Raw genomic sequence first — 19,055 nt, forward strand, 5'->3', positions numbered from 1 at the left:
TCTTTACCTCGCACTGGAAGGGATCAGATATAAATGTCACTAGGTCCATTTCACAGCTAGGTAAATAGAGTCGGGGAATCTGACTCTCAGACAATAAACAGAACTGAATTTTGAAGCATTGCTCTTTTCTGGGGCAAAGACCAATGACTTGTTGATTTTGCAAACAAGGCAGTGACATGATCCATGTTTGAAAGAGGACCCTGGTAGTCTTAGAGGAATAGGGTGGGGACTGGAGGTGAGTTCTAAGACTCTGGGAATTGACCAAGAAGGAAGTGGGGGGATACTCCAAACTAAGATGTGGTGGTGGAAACAGACAGGAAGGTGCTTCTGAGAGGGGATACAAAAACAGATTTGTCCCCAAGAAATCAGCTTGTTTCTCAAAAACTGAAACAAGGATTCAAGGAGGTTATTTGGGCTGGTGGTATTAGCAGGCACCTGGAGACACAATCTCTCCCGGCTCTGCTTGGAGACAGATTCCCCTGACTGTATTTACCTAGCTGTGAAATGGACCTAGTGACATTTATACCTGATCCCTTCCAGTGTGAGGTAAAGAGCCAAAGATCTTTAGAGGAATACAAGGGGAGTAGGGGGACATGGCTGCTCCCAGATACGTTTGGGCTCCCAGCCCTGATTACCCAGAGAAATATCATCCGAGAAGCCTGAGAGCCACCCTTCATCTGGGTTCTGCTTTTAGAGAGCCTCTTCCTGTGTCAATGAAACAGAAAGTAGGAGTTTGGGAAGGCTGATTTTGACTTAAGGACACTGAATACAATCTTTTCTGGGTGTTTACAAAGTGTGTTTACCAAGCAGCCACTCTCCAAACCCTAGCAACTGCTTAAAACAAGAGAGCTGCTGATTTGTGGAGTGTTTTCTTTTCAAAAAATATCGCCGTAAATGTTGGATTTAGAGACATTCTTTCCTTTTAAAAATAACTTGTCAAGGGGACAAAAGTATTTAAGAGGCTTTCTTCTCAGCTCAGAAAGCCATAGGGAGGAGGAATGGTTTGTTTTGGAGTTTTTTGGGTTTTTTTGGGGGGGGGGATTTTTTATTTTGCATGAGGTTAGAGCTAGGAGTAGGAGAAGTAGGAGGGGCAGTTGGAAAGCAGGTGGGATGTTGGTTAGCTCTTTGCCTTCGGAATCCCAAACCCCTTCTCTGATTGCTCCTTCCCTCACCTTTTTCTCTCAAAAACCCACCAGGATCTAGGAGAAAACAAGATTGAGCTCTACTTTGCCCCCTCCCTTTCCCTTTCCCCCTCCCCTGCAGTCCCACCCCAGCGCTCCCCACCTACCTCTCATATCAGGTGTCAACTTCTTCTTTCTCTCCACAGACGCCACAGTGTGTCCCCAAGTGCACCACTGATGGTATACAAGATTTTGGAGGTTGACATACAAATAAGCTTTAAAAAAATTTTTAGCAGTACGTATTTTTTAGAGTACCAAAAAACACAGAGATAGATAGACAGACTATAACAGATAGATAGATAGATAGATATGATTGACAGATAGATAATAGATATGAATGACAGATATAGGTAGATAATGATCGACAGATGATTGATAGATATGATTGACAGAGAGATGATTAATAGATGATAGATATGAATGACAGATAGATAATAGGTAGATAATGATTGACAGATAGATGATTGATAGATATGATTGACAGATAGATTAATGATTGACTGATAGGGCGAGCCAGGACCTCAAACCCATGCTTTCACAGATATTACCCCTTTCCTTTTTAAGCACATTTTACACAACACATGATCATTCAACCAATTATTGGGTTGTTATGGTCCTACTAAGTGCCAGGCACCATTTATCGTTCTTAGGAACATCAGTAAACAAAACAGTCACCAGACACTGATCTCACAGAGCTTATATGCTGGCAGGCAAAAGCAGGAAATAAGCAAGAAGTGAATAATAATCTGATAAATTCTAAAGTGATTAGTGCTATAAGAAAAGAAATAAAGAAAAAAACAAGAAAAGAAATATTAAAGAAAAATAAGGCATGTCAGCAGTGCCCAGGGAGGGGGAAGGGGGTAGGTTCCCAAATTTAATGGGGTAGTCAAAATAAGCCTCATGAAGGAGGTGAGATTTCAGCAAGAACTTGAAGGAGGTGAGTAAGTTCACTACAGGTTTATCTGGGGGAAGAGTGGTTCAGGCAGAGGGAAGAGCTTCAGCAAATTCCCTAAGCAAGGGCCATAACCAGCCTCTTCCAGAAACAGTAAGGTGGCCAGTGTGGCTGGAACAGAGTGAGCAAGGCAAGAAAGTAGAGGGAGAGAAAATCAGAGGAGACAGATTCTGATTCTGATCACTTATTTTAAATGTAATTAAAACTAAATGAAATTTAAAATTCAGATTCTCAGCTGCATGAGCCATGTTTCAAGGGTTTAATAGCCACTTGTGGCTAGTGGCTACCTTATTGGGTAGCACAGATAAGAAAATTTCTCTCATCACAGAAAGTTCTATCAGATGACACTGACCTTGAGTGTTTTGGCTCCTTTTTTGGCTTGGTTAACTTTTATTCAGACTTTAACAGCTCAAACATCACTTCCTCCAGGAAGGCTTTTCTGACCACTCTTCCTGTACATCAGCTCCACTGTCCTATGCATGCTCTCAGAGAGCCAGGTGGCTTTCCTTCGTATCAGTTATCTCTTTGTGAAATCGTACACTAATTGGCAGTGCTTGATGGCTTGTACCTGAAGTCCCAGCTACTCAGGAGACTGAAGTGGGAGGATCACTTGAGTTCAGGAGCTTGAGGCTACAGTGAACTATGGTCACTGCACTCCAGCCTGGATGACAGAGTGAGACTCCATTGAAGGAGGAGGAGGAGGAGAAGAAGAAGGAAGAAATTGTATGCTCATTAGTACAATATCTTACTGATGTCTCTCTCTCCTAATACATTTTAAACTCCGTTGTTTCTGTTTTGGTTCATTGTTATATTGCCAGCACCTAGCACAGGGCCTGACGTATGAAGGACAAATAATTTGTTCAACGATCCAATGAATGGTTTTAGGTGGTAGGACTAGAAGCAGGGTATTCACTAAAAAAAAGGTTATAGCACTGTGGAGAACTGTGATTCAGTAGGCTCCTGGGACCCAAAATTTTGCTGGGTGAGAGCAGCTCCAGAGGCTGGAGTCCCTACTGCACCAAACTTGGATTCAGCTCAGGACCCTTAATCATTTTTGCACCCCCTTCTCACCAAGGCCCCCACATGCTGTCCCTCCAGGATAACAACAGCATAGCATCTGTCTTTACCAGAGAAGCCAAGTCTCAGATATTCACATAATGTCTCTTCATTCCTTCAGTCCTGTGCTTGCAGCAGCAGCAGCGGCAGCATTGAAATGCTTCCTTCTGCTGCTCGCGAATCCGAGGAGTGGGGACCGACCTTGGCACATTTGCTGGGATGCCTGGCTAGGCAAGGAGAGTGCCGTGTGCTCCAGCACGTATGTGGCCGCCCTCATGGAGCAAATGCTGGACTGCACAGCCCTGGATCTGACAGGTAACACGCAGCAGCTGCATGATTTAAAAGGCCTTGTGGGAAGAGGTTTTGTCTCCCACTTTGAGAGCTTGAGTGCTTCATATAAATATTTATGGGAGTCTGGGGCCTCCATTAACCCTACCAGTACCACATTTCACTTGTTACATGGTGCTTGTCTGTGAATGAATGTGAACACCCGTGTTCAGTTATACATGCATGTATGCATGTGCGTGTGAGGATGTACATGGACTCCTATGCATTTTGGGAGAGCATGTGTAATCAATTGTATCTCAATGTGAGTATAAATACATACACTTATGTGCACATAATTGTGAACATTGTATCCACACTGTAAATGCATGTGCATGAATATTTAGACATGCATGCATATAGGCATGGATACATACATATGCATACATGTATAATGTATGTGTATATGTTTGTGTGCATGTATGTGGGCACATGAATATGAGAGTTTGTATCTAGCAAATGAGCACATGTGGATTCTGTGCTCCAATGTGTATGCAGGCCTGCCTCCATATGTGTAAGCCTGAGTGTATACACATGCATGTTTATTCATGCACCTGCTCTGAGAACATATGCATATCTATGTGCAGGTCTAGAGCTTCAACATTACCCCAGAAATAGCTTTCATTAAACTATGGGCGATTCCATAAAAATTGCCTCGCCTAGAGGCTGCTGCTTCTATAAACACTTGTTCTGGTAATTATGATATATTTACTGGTAAGTTCAATTGAGAACAGATGAAAGGTGAAAGAACTAACTGTTCATTAATTGCAAACAGTACCAATGTCCCAAGACAATGATGCCCAAAGTGTCCTCCTCCACCACACACAGACACACAGACACAGACACACACACACACATACACACACTTCCCACCACCATACTCCTCTGCCAGAGATTGAAATGAGCAACAAAGCTGCAGTTTCTCTCTGACACCCTTGTCATCATGTTTGTACTTGTGCATCTCCAAATTCCCATCACCCATCTCTTTGCCTGGGGATGCAAAGAGAGCATCTTATGGCTGGAGAACATGAAGCACACCCTTGTAAATGTAACTACCCTCTGCAGAGGGATTTAGAGAGGAAACTGTCATCAAAGATGACTATGTCCCACTCCTCCATACTTCCCCCCACCCGAGTGTTTCAGATAAGGCATAGTGGACTTACGAAGTTTGGTGACAAAAATACAAATTTCAGCACCAGATAGGTGGGGACTCAAGTTCTAGTTCCTCCACAGGGTGACACTGAGCAAATAGTAACCACTCTGGGCTTTACTCATCTCTGACCTGCAGATAATAGTAACCCATGCTTCATAGAGTTAAGTGAAATGTAATAATGAAACTAATCTCACAGTTTGGTTACACTTCTGCTTTGTGACCTTCCTGCCCATTGTCCACAGAAAGGGACATTTGTGCCATGCTCTGGCTCCCAGAACACAAAGGAGGATGGGTGTCAAGCCCTGCAATGGGAAGCACATCCCTTCTCTGTCCACTCAGGACAGGCAGAAGTGAGCCCCCAGGCCAGTCCAGGTCCATGATCTCTCTAGAGTAAAGCTCAGGTACCTGTAACACCAGCAGAAGCAGGGAAGTGAAGGTGCCAGATCCAGAGAAGAAACAAAGGGACACCAAGAGTGAGCTAAGGGCAGCTGTGGCTCCTGAATCCGATGGAGTCCTGGGCTATGATCAATGTCTGCCTCATGCTCCAAAGCTCTGAAATGGGCACCTTGTAGTCTCCCACCCTGCTGTCCATTTACTGCAAGGAGTCCAAGCCTAGGTAAGATATACAGATCTCCAAAAAAGAAAACACAACAATATAAATGTTGGACTTGTGGATTTCATCTCCCTTCTTATGCTGAAACTGGCTTCTTCCAGAAAGTACCAGGGCTCCTCCCATTGCCTCCAAAGCTGTCCCTCCAGCCCAAAGACAACATCCCTTTTTGATACAAATACGAAAGAATGTGTAATGAGTGGCTGGTATATTTCATGAAAGTAACTTCACATGAAAGAATGCAGAGAGGCAGCTAAAACTGAGTTTGGCTTCATAACAAATCATTAATATAGGTGATTTTCCACATTGAAGTAGTAACTTATTTCATGTATTCTATTTCTTCCAAGTGAGAACACTGAGCTCTGATTTTCTTATCTAAATGCATCTTTTAGGAGGCATTCTGGGATAATGTATATAATGCATCTTTTATTATCCTAAAAGATAGGATAATATAAGATGCATCTTTTAGTATGCATCTTTTAGGATAATATGTGTAAGACAACGGAGAAAGACATTAAGAAGACTAAGTGTGAGGCACAGGAAATTGACAGAACGTGGTAACGGTGTTCAGAAATGAAGGAGGCATACGGAGGATGCGGAGGAGATACGGAATATGTGCTCCCCAGTTGGAAGAGGTGCTCTCCATGGTCTGGACACATGCTCCAAGAGGCAGGAACTATAGAAAGAATAAAATTTCAGCAGTAGTAGCTGCCGCCTTCGCCAAAATAAGGCTAGGCTTCTAGGCCGGGAACGCCCAGCCTGGGAAGCCGAGTAAGGGCTACTTCCACGGACCAGGTACTCCCTGGACGCAGAACTGTCCCTTCACTGCAGCTGGATTGTCTTCTGAGTGTACTGGGCTAGGCAACAGCACAGAGCAGCTTTACCAACCAGATTGATTTCTTTTAGGAGGGCTGCTGGAAACCATGCTGCCTAATGGATGTGCCATTTGAGGACTTTTATTTTGTTGGGGGGGAGGAAGAGCAGAGCAAACCTCTAATCTTCTCTTCCTTACATAACAAATCCAAACACAACTATCTCTGGGATGGGAGGCCAGGCCAGCAGACTGCAGGCTGCAGAGGGAAGGGTTACGCAAGAAGCCAGTTCAGAGTTTTCCTTTCTGAAAACAGAAGGGCCTGGAGTGCAGATTTTGCACCTGAAAGCCTGCAAGGGAATGACCAGAAACTCTAAACCCACTGTCTCCAGAAGCCAGGACAGGAAGAGCTTGGGGAGTGGGGATGAGAGAGCAAGAGAGTAGGGGGTTTGCCTGGTGTGGCAGAAGCTGCAACTCCAGGTCACAGAGAAAGCCAAGTGACCAGCCTGGTGGATCTGGCGTGGTTCCTGGCAGCTCCCACTGCAGTATGGGTCCAAGAGGCCTCTGGGCGGGCACAGGCTGAAGCAGTGGGTAGGAGTCGAGTGCCCTCTGACAGGCAGGGGCGTTGTCCTGCCACAGAAATGCCCAGAGACCCGGGACTGAGGGAAGCCTGCCTGGTTCACTGAAAGAGGGATCTGGGTCCAGGGCCCAGGCTCAGCTTCCCCGGAGATCCCTTCCCGGAGAACCGACTGGTGCCGGTTCCCCCGCAGCGGGGCGCCGATCCCCAGCGAACCTCGCCACTGGGGGAACCTGGAAGGGAAAAGCGGGATAGTTGGAGCGGTCAAGACGAGAGCCCGGAGCAGCGGGCCCTGGTCCTAGTGCTGCGCGGTGGCTCGGGGGACTCCAGAGTCTCATTCCCCCGCGCCGCACACTCCAGCCACCTCGGGACCCCGCTCGGCAGCCCTTCCCCGCCAGGCAGCGCCGAGATAAAAAACAGAAGAGAAATCAAAACAGAAGGAGAAAGTTTTCTGAAATGAAAGAGGTTACGAAGGAAGGGCTAAAAGAATGGGAAATGTCAAAGAAAGAAAAAGGATGCCAGGAGGCAAGGGAATGGTGCCTAGGCTCCCACCCGTCCCCGCGCACAAGGACCCGAGGCTCCCGGCAAGCCCAGCTGAGCGCCTTCCCCGACCCGCCTCTCTGAAAGTGGCGGCGGCGGATCCAGTCCGCACAGCCTCCCGCACACCCCCCAGAGATCCGGGGTCGCAAGAGGCGGGATTCGCGCCGGACTAGACTGCAGCTGCTCCAGCCACGGGCGCGGTCCGAAGGGAAGCCCTCGTCCGGGGGCCTGCTGTGCCCCGTGCGTGCGTCCGGGTGTCTGAGCGTGCCTGTCTCTGAGTGCGTCTCCGGGTGCAGGCGCCAGCCTGTCTACGTGGGACGGGTGCTGACTTGGAAGACTCCCGGCCCTGGAGGATTTTCCCCCGGGGATGTGAAGGATTGCAAGGAGCCCGCGAGCCGCAGGGAGCGGTGGGAACGGAAAAGGAGGATGACGGTGGCGGGGTGCTGCTAGGGTGGGACGTGCCCGAGGGCCTTGGGACTCGGTTCTCTTTTCCTGGGCTTGTGGGCTCTGGGGCATCACGGCGGGTCGGGACGACAGGCTACAGGCGGAGACGCAGCCGGGGCTTGCCTGATGTGCGAGTCCGCCCTGGAGGCTCCGGAAGCCCGGGCCTCCTCCAAGGAGCTGCCGGTTCCGCCTGACTCTCGCCTGCTTGCGCCCCGGGCCGGTTAGTGCTCACTTGGAGGGTTGATGCGGGGACTGACAGTGCCTCAATGTCAGTCCCCGCACCATCAATGTGGGTATCAATGAGGGCATCAATGTGTGCAGGATGTGTCTGTGTATCTGTGTGTCAGTGTATCACTAAGACTGTGTTCTGGGATTGTCAGATTCTCCGAGAGGCAGCTGGTCACTCCAAACCGGCTTGAACCACTTTGTCTTCTGGATGCAATGTTGATGGTATTGGTCACTGGGTCGATGTCTGTGCTTCTGTGCTCTGGGGAAGAAAAGCCAACACTTTGGAGTTTGCAACCCTCCCCAGCTCAGAGGCTAAGGATGGAGAATGTCAGTCCGCTTGGGACGATTCCAAAGGGAGTCAGGCCGCCGGATTTAGGGTCTCCACCAGCCAGGAGTTCGTGATCTTTTTGGTCTCTGGAGCCATGCAGTGGGATTTCCTCTGGCACCCTACCTGAGCGAAGCCTCTTTCACCACAAAGAGGATACATGTGTACATGTGAAAACATTCTGTGCAGGAGCATGTGTGTATGCAGTTACCCAACTAATCAAAGCCCCTTGCTCCTTCATTCATGCACATGGGGACAAAGGTTCCACAGAGCCAGGCTCAGCTGCCCTCTCCTCCCAGATCACAGCCAAAGCCTTCCCCACCGGACACATCTTTCATCTTTCTGCCAGTGAAATCAACTGGGCCTAGGAATTAAATTCGAGCTAGAATTCCAAGCTTCTCTCCTATTGAACAACACCAACACACTATATAAATGTACATGAATGTTAATGTTATCTGTATCCCAAATTTTTAGGTCCCCTTCCTCTTCTCTAGACCTCAGCCATCACTACCTCCAGGCTTCCAGGGATCCAGGCCAAAATTCCCTGTTAGTTTCACTCTCCTTTTCCTTCTCCCAGCTCAGATTCCCAGCTGGGGCTCCACTTCATGGGTCTCCTACACCTCCCCATTTGGGTTCTGAAACTCCATGAGCCAGAGAACCCCAGGAACTAAACGCTAAGCCTCCTGGACTGCAGATAATGAGTCTAAGGAGACCGGAGCCCCTCGGAGCTAGCCATTGCCAAAGGATCACAAAAACTCTACAGGGGTTGGAGATCCTACTCCATGTCCCAGGGGTGTCTGAGGCCAACCCTGAGTTATAGACAGGACTCCAAGGAGGCTGAGAGGGGTTGGGGGTGACCTAGGTGGGCACCACTCTTCCAAGAATACGGAAAAGGAAAGGTTCTAGGGCCACCTCCCAGTCAGGGATCTCCAGGCTGCAGCCAAAGCTGCTGCACTGGAGTGATGACCCAAACCCCTCCAACACCCAATTCAAGGAGCCACTAAAATTCAGACTCGGCCACACAGTGCCCATCTGCAGAACTGAGGAATCCATGCCTCAGCGCCAGTGCACCCGAGGCATACTACCGTCAAAAACACAAGTCCACACAGAGAGGTGTCCTGCCTGGAGGGTTTTGCACCCCAAGATCCAGTGCTGGGTTGTACCTGCTTCTATCAGCTTTGGGGTGAGGGAGACAGGCCCCATTCAGAGAAGGTATCTGGCTCTGGGCAGCTCCAGTTGCTCCCAGAGAGATGTGCTGGGTAGGAGAAAGGAGACTTGCACCCCAGGCAGGAAGGCAAAGGCCCGGGTCAGCTGGGCCAGAGCGCCAAAAAGACCCAGCTTCCCCATCAAGGTGGCAGCTCTTGGCTTCCTAGTCTCCATCAATCACTATTTCAGAGCAGACAGACTAGCAAGTCAGTTCTGGTGGCCAAGCCTGAAAGCACTGAAAAAGTGGCGTGTGCCCCACACCCAGGGACTCCAAGGCTGTTTGGACCTGCGCCCTCTCAGCTCATAATCCAGCTCTCTTGACCAGGGTCTGTACCTAGGGTGGGAAGCAGAGAACACATTTGAGGCTCATGTACACACACACTCAGACACTCAAGGAAGGGATTTGCTAGGGCTTGGTTTGCTATTCCATTGGCCATGGGGTGAGAGTAACCCAAAGTTGATGCGACTCTTGAGGAAGCAAGAGAAGAAAGTCAAAATCATGCGAACGCAGAGTCCTCTAAATAAACACCATTTCCATGGTTTTAATAAGCAAAATAGGAAACCATTTTAATAACCAAAAAACAGAAACCAGTCTGAATAAAACTACAATAGACTAGGTTTTAATATTTTCATATCATAAGCAGGGTTTGAAATTGATCCCTTATTTTACATGAAATAAAAACAATTTCTGTTGCGGCAGGTTTGATTTCAACACAGTTGAATCTGTAAAAACCAAAGCTCGTTTCTGATGCAGGACAAATATCCACAATATTTAAAACTGCAAGCACCATGCGGTTCATACAATCTTGTTATTACTGTTAATTTATCAACTAATACAAACTCAAAAATGCATCCGGCCAGCAGCGCCAGCAATTTCAAATGGGAACTTAAAAATACACTTTTATTTTGGTATTTTTGTCAGTGCAACTTAAATCCTTTTACTGACCTGCAGAAAAAAAAAAGTAATAATAAAGAAAAACACCCATATCTTCCCTATAACTACTATACAACTGAAGAATTGAAGGGGGGGGACACCACCAAGAACTCTTCCTACTATCTCAAAAGCAGGGAAAGAAACGCAATGCATTGGTCTAAAGAACGCACTTGAAAGTTGCAAAATTACTTGCCAATGTTTGGGTTTCTGGTACATTCTGAGCATAGCAGTTGGTTCAGTGCAGTGTCTGCTTACCAGTGCACTGCCAGGGTCAGGGATGGCTAAGCCTCTCACCCTAGGAGCGCTGTGGCTCCTACAATTAGCGCAGGCCCAGAGGGTTCAGAAGGGACCTCAGGGTGATTCTGGTTACAATAAAAAGCAGAGGGGAGGATCTGTTTTCCTTTCCTTTCCTTTCTTATTAAGGGTATCAATTTGACCATAAGACAAGGCTGTAGTCCAGAACACTCCTCTGGGGTGCGGAGCTTGGCAGCTTCCCTGCCCTGCCCTGCCCTTGTACTGGGACCTCTCGGTTCTCTCTCTCAGCACCAACAAGGTTGAAAACTAAAGCGAGAGAGGAAAAAGAGGACCGAATGGGGATAAGGGAAGGAAAGAAAACATGCAACTTCCAAGTGTGCCCCAAGACAAAGTTGTTTTCTGATGCAAAATGCCCGGAACTTTTTCTTTTTTTTTTTCTTTTTAACTTACAAACAAAAATACCGTAATAATAAACCCAAACAAAGACCCTCAGCTTGCTGCCACGTTCTCTATGCGGTTTGGCGGGGCGGGTATTTACAAGCCTACAGCTGGGACTGAAACCCCGCACGCAGCCGCCGGAGTTTCCAAACTGCGATCCCTTCTCACCCAAAGAAACAAGGGGAGTATGATCCATGATCAACAACATGCTAAAGTTAAACAAGAAAATGGTACAAAATAGAAATTATTACCATACATGTCCAGCATGCAGGATTAATATTTTTAATGCAGATTTTTTGTATTTTTCTATATAATCGAGCAGGCAATAAAACTGATGAGATTTGGGCGCCGAGCGTCCTAACTGAGGCCTGTGTCTCAGGGCTGAGAGCCAGTGTTCTCCGAACTCTGACAGACAGGTCCGTCTGTCCTTCCTTCTTTCGCTCAGCCTCGCCTCTCGCCTGCCGGGACGCCAGAGTCCCTCTCCTTTCCTCGTTGCTCTCTTCCTGGCGCGGACTACTCTCCGGGCAGCAAAGCAGCTGTCCCGGCTTAACGCGCAAAGTTCAGAAAGCCAGGAGTCTCCAGATGGCCTTGGTGACTTCTCGGGACTATGCCTCGCCGCCCTTCAGCCTGGAGAGAAGTTACTCCGGGACCTCCCACCCTCTCGTCTCTCTCTCCGGCTCTGCTCGAGTCTAGGAGGCGGCGCTGGCGTGCGCTACTCTCGCCTTAGCCAAGGTCCCCTGCCCGCCCGCGCACCCGCCCGTCGCCCGCGGCCCGCGCGCCCTTCCTCCCTCTCGCTCAAGTCAAACAGGTCAAGGCTGGGGCCGCGGCAGGGACAGGGTCCGGGGTAGTCTGGGACTAGGGACGTGGGACAGGGAGTCCGGGCCGGGGCAAGGGCGGGGGCCAGGACCGGCCACGACTCACAGAAAGAACTCGGGAGAGGAGGGGCTGTCGCTGGTGGAGCCCGCCTCCCTGAAGCCGGAGTTGGCGAGTTTCTCGCACTTGACCTTGTAGGCGTCTCTCTCGCGGGCCAGCCGGGACACCTCCTGCTTAAGCTGCTCCACCTGCTGAATGAGCTGCGTCTTCTCATTCTCCAGGTGGTGCTTCTGCTGGACGCGTTTATACCTGCAAGACTGGGCGTAGCCCCGGTTCTTCAGGGTCCGCCGCTTCTGCTTCAGGCGGATCACCTCGTCCTTGGTGAAGCCCCGCAGGTGGCGGTTCAGCTCGCGCACGGACATGGACACGAGCTGGTCGTCGGAGAAGCGGTCCTCCACGCTGCCGTTGCCGCCCGCCGCCGTCGCCGAGGCCGTCGCGTGCGGCCCGGGCCCGGGGTGGCTAGTGGGCAGCTGTTGCGCCGGGCTAGCGGCGCTGGACGGCGGCGGCGACGCTTGGTGATGATGGTGATGGTGCGGGTGAGCGTGCGGGCCCAGCTCGTCGTGGGCCACGCCGGCGCCCGGGTACGCGTGGTGCGGGTGAGGGTGGTGGTGATGGTGGTGGTGGTGAGCGCCGCGAAAGCTGTCGAAGCTTTGCAGCGGCTGTGGCACTGGGTGCGAGCCGATGAGCGCTTCCACCGCGTCCTCGGGCGTCAGGTTGAGCGCCTCGGGGTTCATCTGCTGGTAGTTGCTCGCCATCCAGTACAGATCCTCGAGGTGTGTCTTCTGTTCGGTCGGGCTGAAGCTGGGCGACGAGGGCACGGAGCTACACGGAGTGCTGAGCGGTGTGGAGGACACCGAGCCGGCTGGCTGCAGGCGTGTGCAGGGCCTGCCCGGACGCTCCGCGCGCCCCAGTGGCTCCTTCTTCACGTCGAACTTGAGCAGGTCGAAGTCGTTGACATACTCCATGGCCAGCGGGCTGGTGGGCAGCTCTGGCCCCATGCTCAGCTCCGCGGCCATCGCTGAAGCGAGGCGCAGCCGCCGCTGCCGCCCGGGAAACTTTGCGGCCGGCCGGAGCGCGCCGAGCCAAGCGCGGGGGGGAAGAGCGGAGAAGAGCTGGGGAGGCGGGGAGCGAGGGCGCAGCGGGCCGGGGCCGCCGGCCAAGCCTTTGTCTGGGGACGCGGCGGCGCGCCGGAGAGTCCCGAGGCTGCCTGCACCGCCCCAGAGCTCTGGGCTGTGCCCGCGCAGGGACCGGGCCGGGTAGAGTCGGGCGGGGTGGAGAGGCAAGCGGAGCGCGCGGTGGGGCTGAGGGGAGGCGTGGGGCGAGTGCCCGTTGCTCGCTCTCTAGCTCTCTTGCTCTTACGCTCTCTCGCTCGCAGCCGCTCGCAGCTCGGCGGTGCAGCTGTGCTGGATCCGGCGGCGCCGCAGCCTTTTATCGCCTCCTGATGTCACTGGGGTGCGGGGGCCCGGGCGGCCCGGTGCGCGGGCCAATAGCTGCACGGCCTCCGCGGCCCAGCGGCGCAGGGCGGGGCGCGCCTGACAGCTCCCCCGCCCCCCGCGTCAGCTGACTGGCGGCCCGAGCGGCCCCGGAGCGGCGGAGGCCTGGCGGAGCGCTGGAGCGGAGTGGGACGGCCAGCCTGGGCCCACCCCCGTACCCTGCAGGTCCCGGCCCACGCACGCTCGCCTGGAGTGCGCGCCCCACCTCTAGGCCAAATCACCGCTTTCCCCTCCTCGCGCACTCTCCTCCCTCAGTTCCCTTTGCACCCCACCCCCATCCCGTGTCACCCCCAAGGAGGCTCAGAATGAGCGCCGGGACAACGCCTCCTGGGCCCTTTGTTCCCAAGCGGCCCCCGCCCAGTGGGCGACGCTCTGTGTGTCCTCGCGGCTTCTGGCCGTGTGTGTCGTGCGTTCCTGTTTCTGGAGATCTGCGCGTATTTGTATGTTGGGGAGGGCGGGCTCGAGGCTCCGAGAGTTGTGTTCAGACCCAACTCTTAACCTCAGGGGACCTTTCTCAGGCCAAGCGAGGGCCCCTCCTGGCGGGTGCAGTCGCAGAGCCCTGAGGTTCGACTCCACTGGCCCCGCCGCTCCCCGCGTTCACCCCACCGCACAATGTTCACAGTGAAGGCGACGGGAAAAGCAGCAGCCCAAAGGCTCTGAATTCCTCTTCCCCGCCACACGCACGGAATCCTGAGCCCCCGGAGCCTCGGGGCCGAGGCCGGCCCGGGACGGTGCTCCGAGTAGCTCTCCACTGCTGGGGAGCCGGCCCTGTTTTTGTTTGAACGTTTTGTAACGATTAAGCAGATCCCGGCGTCAGCCCGCCGCGGAGAGGCTCAAACAGGCATAAAGTGCGACCCCAAGTGGCCACTGTGCGCAAAGGCGCCGCGACCGCCCGGCCCACGGCCGGAAGGCTTGGACGGCGCCTCGTACCCAGCCAGGTCTCCCCTACCTGGCCCAACCCAAGCCAGCCCAGAACGCATACTATGTGTGCACCAGAGCCCAGGACAGGTTCCCCTCGAGCGATGTACAGGTCCTCGGGTCCCGTCTTCGTACTCAGCCGCGAGCCTCGAGCCGCGAGCTCCGCTCTGGTCGCCCCGTTGAAATTCCGTGCCCCAGCGTTCGGGGGTGCCCGTCGGCTGCTCCCTGGGCCGGAAGGTCCTGGGCGGAGGAAGGCCGGTAGCCAAAAGTGGAAGCGCCACAGTGAAGCGGCCCAGGGCCACCGGGTGAGAAACCTCCCCGGAGGGCAGACGGGGAGACCGAAGCACACCGCACTAGGCATCCAGACTGGGCTTGGGAGCCGCGCACCCTCCCTACCCAGATCCAGGATGGCTAGAATTAACGGGTTCTTTCTGAGACCTCGGCTCAGGCGCCGAAACCGGATAGATCGCGAATTCGCTGGACCCGGAGACCCGACCCGCCTCCCGCGTCACCTTCTTCTTTCTAGCTTTGGGCGCGCGCAGCGAAAGGCAGGAGAGGCGCGCACTGGGTGAGTGAGTCCCGGCCGCTGTCTGCGCTGGACCAGCCCGACTGACCTCGCGCGTAGGGGTCGCGTGAGCCACACCGGTGCAGACGCGCCTAGATTATTTTTAAATGTTAGAAGGTAAAATATTTGCCTCCAATTAATCTGAAAACTCTCTATTCTCTTGCGCCCTCGGAGAGGCTGGGGTACGGCGTGGTATTGGGCCGCCTATTTTTAATAAAATGAGTGTATTTTAACTAAAACTTAACTCAATCTTGTGGGGTGGCAAATTAAATGCTGGAAGAGCGCGTCTACAACCCTCTTCGAGAAGCGTGCTCTCCGCAGAAATGAGTCGGCCGCCTGGAGAGAGAGCCTGGGCGGTGCCGCTGCGCAGCCCCTGCCAGTAGCTGGGGGTTGGGGACTCGCACCTTGTAAATGTCCTCGTCTTGTTTGAACGCAGTGAGAGCACACTCGTTTCCAGATCACTCGGGACCGGGTGTCTCGGATCTGTGCAGACTATGTATGGCTCCGGCCTCAGGCGGCCAGGGCGGGACAAGCACGCCTGACTCTCTTGGTCCCGACTGGACTAGAGCTGGTAGCACCCTCCCTCAGGGTCCTAAGAGACCTGTGGCTCCCAGAGTGTTTCTGCCACTGTGGACTTCTGCGCGGGCACCAAGATGGACAGGCCAAGCTGTGACCCACTCCACCCCCGCCCATACGTCCCCTCGGCTCTGCCTGACACTGGCCGTCGAAGACTTCCGTGGCCCATTAAGGCCCTGGGGATTCCTGAGGCCCCAGGTCTGCGGTTCCGAACCTCCTCTTCTCCTGCGGGCGGCCTGCCTCCGACTCAGGGTCTCTTGGACTCGGGCTTTGGGCAACCGCGCTCTTCTTTGTCCCTGTGCCTCTGTCTCTGTTGTGGTCACTCCCTTCGCCTGGGCTTTGACTGTGGTATCTCTGTCCATCCCCAGGCTCACTTCCCCACCCAAATCCGTTTCTCTGCCCCTCTCCCAGCTTAGCCACTCCCTCCTCTGCACACCCCACAACCTACCCCACCAAAAAAAAATGTTGGAAACAGCCCTACCCCTGCCAGGCTGTGGGTGAATGACGGAGACATGCAGGTGGCCGAGGAGTTAAGGCCGCTGCTGCGCAGCCGGCCCCACTTCGTGGCCTGGCCTCCCCCACCCCGGTTACTGCTGCGCTGACTTGGAGCCCCAGGCCCTATAGCCTCCAACTTCCGACTGCTGTCGCGGGATGCCGCTTCTCATCTCTGGGGTCTCTGGATCAGCATGCCAGGCTCGGCTCCCCGTCATGGATACACAGCAGTGCCCGCAGTCTTCACCCTATCCCTAAAACGTAGGCAGGGTTGAGGTGAGGAGGGTGAGGGATTGCTGCTGTATACCTATTGACTGGGAGTCCGACACGCTCAAAGAAAAAAAGTAAAAGAAGGAACGGTGGAAGAAGTGAAGGGTCGAGGAGAAGTAAAGGGAGGCCAGGAGACACGCGAGCAGTGCACGGAGTCCCAAGGCACACTGAAGGAAATGCACGGAGTCCCAAGGCACACTGAAGGAAAGTCGGGGATTTTGCGGCAGCCACAGCCCCTCTAGTGAACAGCTTGTTGCCAAAACTCCCATTTAAGGTGTTTACCCAAGAGTGACCTCCTCTCTACCCACGCCAGGTTGGGCCAGAGGCTATGCCTCTGGGACGCACCGCCTCGGGATTCTTTAGCTACAAATGGTGATGGAGGAAGCTCTGCAGGGTCCGAGCCGCTGCAGAGCCTTGGAGCATTCGGGGTAGGAGTAAGAGAAGAGGTTATTCCCTAAGGGAGCGTGGAGCCCACAGCCAGCCGCCAGGTGTGAGGTTTGCCGCGCTGCCCTCGTTGGCCCCCACTCAGCCGAGGGAATAACTCCAGAGAGGCCCGGCGGCGTGTCCTCCCGTACGCCTGGAAACCAGAGCGGCATTCCTGGCATCCTCATTCAGCCCGAAGGTGCGCCGTTCACCTTCGGCGTTATTTCCCTGAGGGTTGCAGGTGGTTGGTGAGCGAGGAGGCGTCTCTGTGCACGCATGGGTGCTGTTGGAGGCGTGCGGGAGGGGTGTGTTCGTGCGTGTGCTGTTTGCGCGCGCGTGTGTGTTGGTGGAGAGGCGCAGCAGCACGCGGGATGCGGGAGCGGGAAACTTCCAGCTTCAAAGCTCGGTGGGCTCCGGATCGTACTATGCGGAGTCGCTAAGCAGAGGCCAGTGGTCTCAAGGGCCTCAGAGGCAAGTTCTGCCAGGGAGGGTCCTGAATCAGGGGACCCCCACCTCCCGCCTGCCGCAGGAGCTTGACTTCTGCCTTTGCATCACCCAGATGTAGTGTCACCTGTCTTTTCCAAGGAGCCCTCAGGTCTCTGCCACCTTTTGTGAGGCTCAGTGGAAAAGTATTATGTTGCTCCCATTCCGTGGGATCCTCCCAAGGTCTATGGAACCCAAAAAGAGACAGGAGGGTTTTCTGGGGGATTTTTGTTTCTGTTTTTTGCCCTTACTCTTCCTTTTCCTCTTCCCAAAGGCAGCTATCACTTCCACTTTCCCTTGCCCCATACAACCGCTGTCAGATTCCAACCCAGTGCTTCTAAAAAGGTATTCTTGGGTTTCTGGGTCCTGGTGGTCTTTAGGCAACCAAAAGATTCAGAGGGTCCCAGTAGGGAGCCAGAGTTACACTGACTGTGAAGATCCTGGCTGTCTCTCCTGGGGACCAGGGACAACACCCCAATACATGCAGAAATGTGCACGCGAGCACACACACACACTTAGGGGTAGGAAATTATTATTAAAACTATTTCACTGTTTTTTTTTACTGTGTTCTAATGTGACCAATAAATAATTTTAAATTACACATGTGCCTCACATTCTATTTCTGATGGACAAGCCTGCATTAGATAACCACTGGGCAGTATTGCTTCCAACACAGATGGGATATTTGATAATAGTCACTCTCATTTGTACAGGGAGTTGCAAAGCCTTTTGTCATTCACCTTTTTGTTTTGTTGTTTTTGTTGTTGTTGTTGGTTTGTTTTATTTTATTTTTTGAGATGGAGTCTCACTCTGTTGCCCAGGCTGGAGCCTGGAGTGCAGTGGCGTAATCTCGGCTCACTGCAACCTCCACCTCCTGGGTTCAATCGATTCTCCTGCCTCAGCCTCCCAAGTAGCTGAGATTAAAGGCACACACCACCACATTCAGCTAATTTTTGTATTTTTAGTAGAGACGGGGTTTCACCATGTTGGCCAGGCTGGTCTCCAACTCCTGACCTCAGATGGTCCGCCCACCTCAGCCTCCATCATTCACCTTTTCACTCAACTCTTACAACTCTGTGAAGTAGTAACTATTATTATCCCTATTTTACAGAGATAGGTAAGCAGGGAGATAAGTGGGTGGATGCAGATATATCACAGTGTCTTAAGAGCATTTTGCATTTAAACTCATTCAGTCCTCACAACTGCCCTATGAGATGAGTAGGATTATCTCCATCTCACACAAAGAATGAGGCTCGAGAGGCTAAATGATTTCTTTACAGTTATACAGCAGTGATGAGCTGGAACTTCTGGTCCCAAGTCCAGTGCTCTGAATACTATGAAGCGTGTGGTCTCTGTGTCAACTGAATAGCATCCTGGGGATTCTGGTGTCAGTACGGTGCTTCTCCACCTGTTCTCTGGGTCAGGATTTTCAGCTGCCACAGGATTAGTGACTGTTCAGTTCACAGCTGAACCTTTACCAAGTGTCAAGTCCCTGCCAATAATTTGATTATGAGGACAGTGTTTAATGTGCCTTCTTATCAGTGGCAGTCAAACTTCTCTTTTCCCTTTTCTCTTCCCTGACTGTGTGGGGCTGGAGAGAAACCAAGGCAGGGGTACCGGCCAAAGGAGAACAATTTTGCAGAGTCCTCTCATCCTGTCCTTTACCCTTGGCATCAGCCTGGCCTCTGATCCTGGGTCCTGCCTCTGGTCTGAGTTTGACCTTCAGTCCATATTCATACATCCCTAAATATCAAAGGAAAGAGACAGAGAAAAAGAGAGGGGAGAGATGATTCAGTGCTGATGAGAAGCTCACTGCTACTCAAAGCCACTGTGCAGTGAATGATAACCAGGACAGTTCCCTTCCCACTACACCTCCCCCACCCATGACCCCAGAGCCAGTGTCAGGAATTCTGAAACCTCATTATTGC

The 19,055-nt window shown here is 52.6% G+C and overlaps 1 protein-coding gene and 1 long non-coding RNA gene across 2 annotated transcripts, besides 5 other annotated features; both read right to left on the minus strand.

The window, feature by feature from the left end:
- Nucleotides 1–1,304: 1,304 nt before the first annotated feature.
- Nucleotides 1,305–2,812, minus strand: LOC105372620 (uncharacterized). Its single transcript, XR_936721.2, has 2 exons — nt 2,486–2,812; nt 1,305–1,355 (listed from the first exon to the last, which is right to left on the minus strand). It is a non-coding gene; the product is annotated as an uncharacterized LOC105372620 (long non-coding RNA).
- Nucleotides 4,680–4,739: an enhancer, noted in NCBI's record as "active region_17880". NCBI's record gives its function as "activates an Ori minimal core promoter by ATAC-STARR-seq in GM12878 lymphoblastoid cells {active_cell/tissue: GM12878}" and the evidence as "EXISTENCE:reporter gene assay evidence [ECO:0000049][PMID:35858748]".
- On the minus strand, nt 9,921–13,309 carry MAFB (MAF bZIP transcription factor B). Its single transcript, NM_005461.5, has one exon. The coding sequence runs from the start codon at nt 12,921–12,923 to the stop codon at nt 11,952–11,954; it is 972 nt and encodes a 323-aa protein (NP_005452.2). The 5' UTR covers nt 12,924–13,309; the 3' UTR covers nt 9,921–11,951.
- Nucleotides 13,172–13,241: a silencer, noted in NCBI's record as "silent region_12909". NCBI's record gives its function as "represses an Ori minimal core promoter by ATAC-STARR-seq in GM12878 lymphoblastoid cells {active_cell/tissue: GM12878}" and the evidence as "EXISTENCE:reporter gene assay evidence [ECO:0000049][PMID:35858748]".
- Nucleotides 13,262–13,571: a silencer, noted in NCBI's record as "silent region_12910". NCBI's record gives its function as "represses an Ori minimal core promoter by ATAC-STARR-seq in GM12878 lymphoblastoid cells {active_cell/tissue: GM12878}" and the evidence as "EXISTENCE:reporter gene assay evidence [ECO:0000049][PMID:35858748]".
- Nucleotides 13,522–14,499: an enhancer, noted in NCBI's record as "H3K4me1 hESC enhancer chr20:39318089-39319066 (GRCh37/hg19 assembly coordinates)". NCBI's record gives its function as "activates a minimal SCP1, AML or CMV promoter by ChIP-STARR-seq in naive and primed H9 embryonic stem cells {active_cell/tissue: H9 hESC(naive and primed)}" and the evidence as "EXISTENCE:reporter gene assay evidence [ECO:0000049][PMID:30033119]".
- Nucleotides 14,500–15,475: an enhancer, noted in NCBI's record as "H3K4me1 hESC enhancer chr20:39319067-39320042 (GRCh37/hg19 assembly coordinates)". NCBI's record gives its function as "activates a minimal SCP1, AML or CMV promoter by ChIP-STARR-seq in naive H9 embryonic stem cells {active_cell/tissue: H9 hESC(naive)}" and the evidence as "EXISTENCE:reporter gene assay evidence [ECO:0000049][PMID:30033119]".

This window comes from Homo sapiens, chromosome 20 (genome assembly GCF_000001405.40).
Source record: "Homo sapiens chromosome 20, GRCh38.p14 Primary Assembly".
In the NCBI taxonomy this organism is placed as follows: domain Eukaryota; kingdom Metazoa; phylum Chordata; class Mammalia; order Primates; family Hominidae; genus Homo; species Homo sapiens.

Coding starts and splice junctions, on each gene's coding strand:
- MAFB (NM_005461.5), bottom strand. CDS start 12,923: ATGGCCGCGGAGCTGAGCATGGGGCCAGAGCTGCCCACCAGCCCGCTG.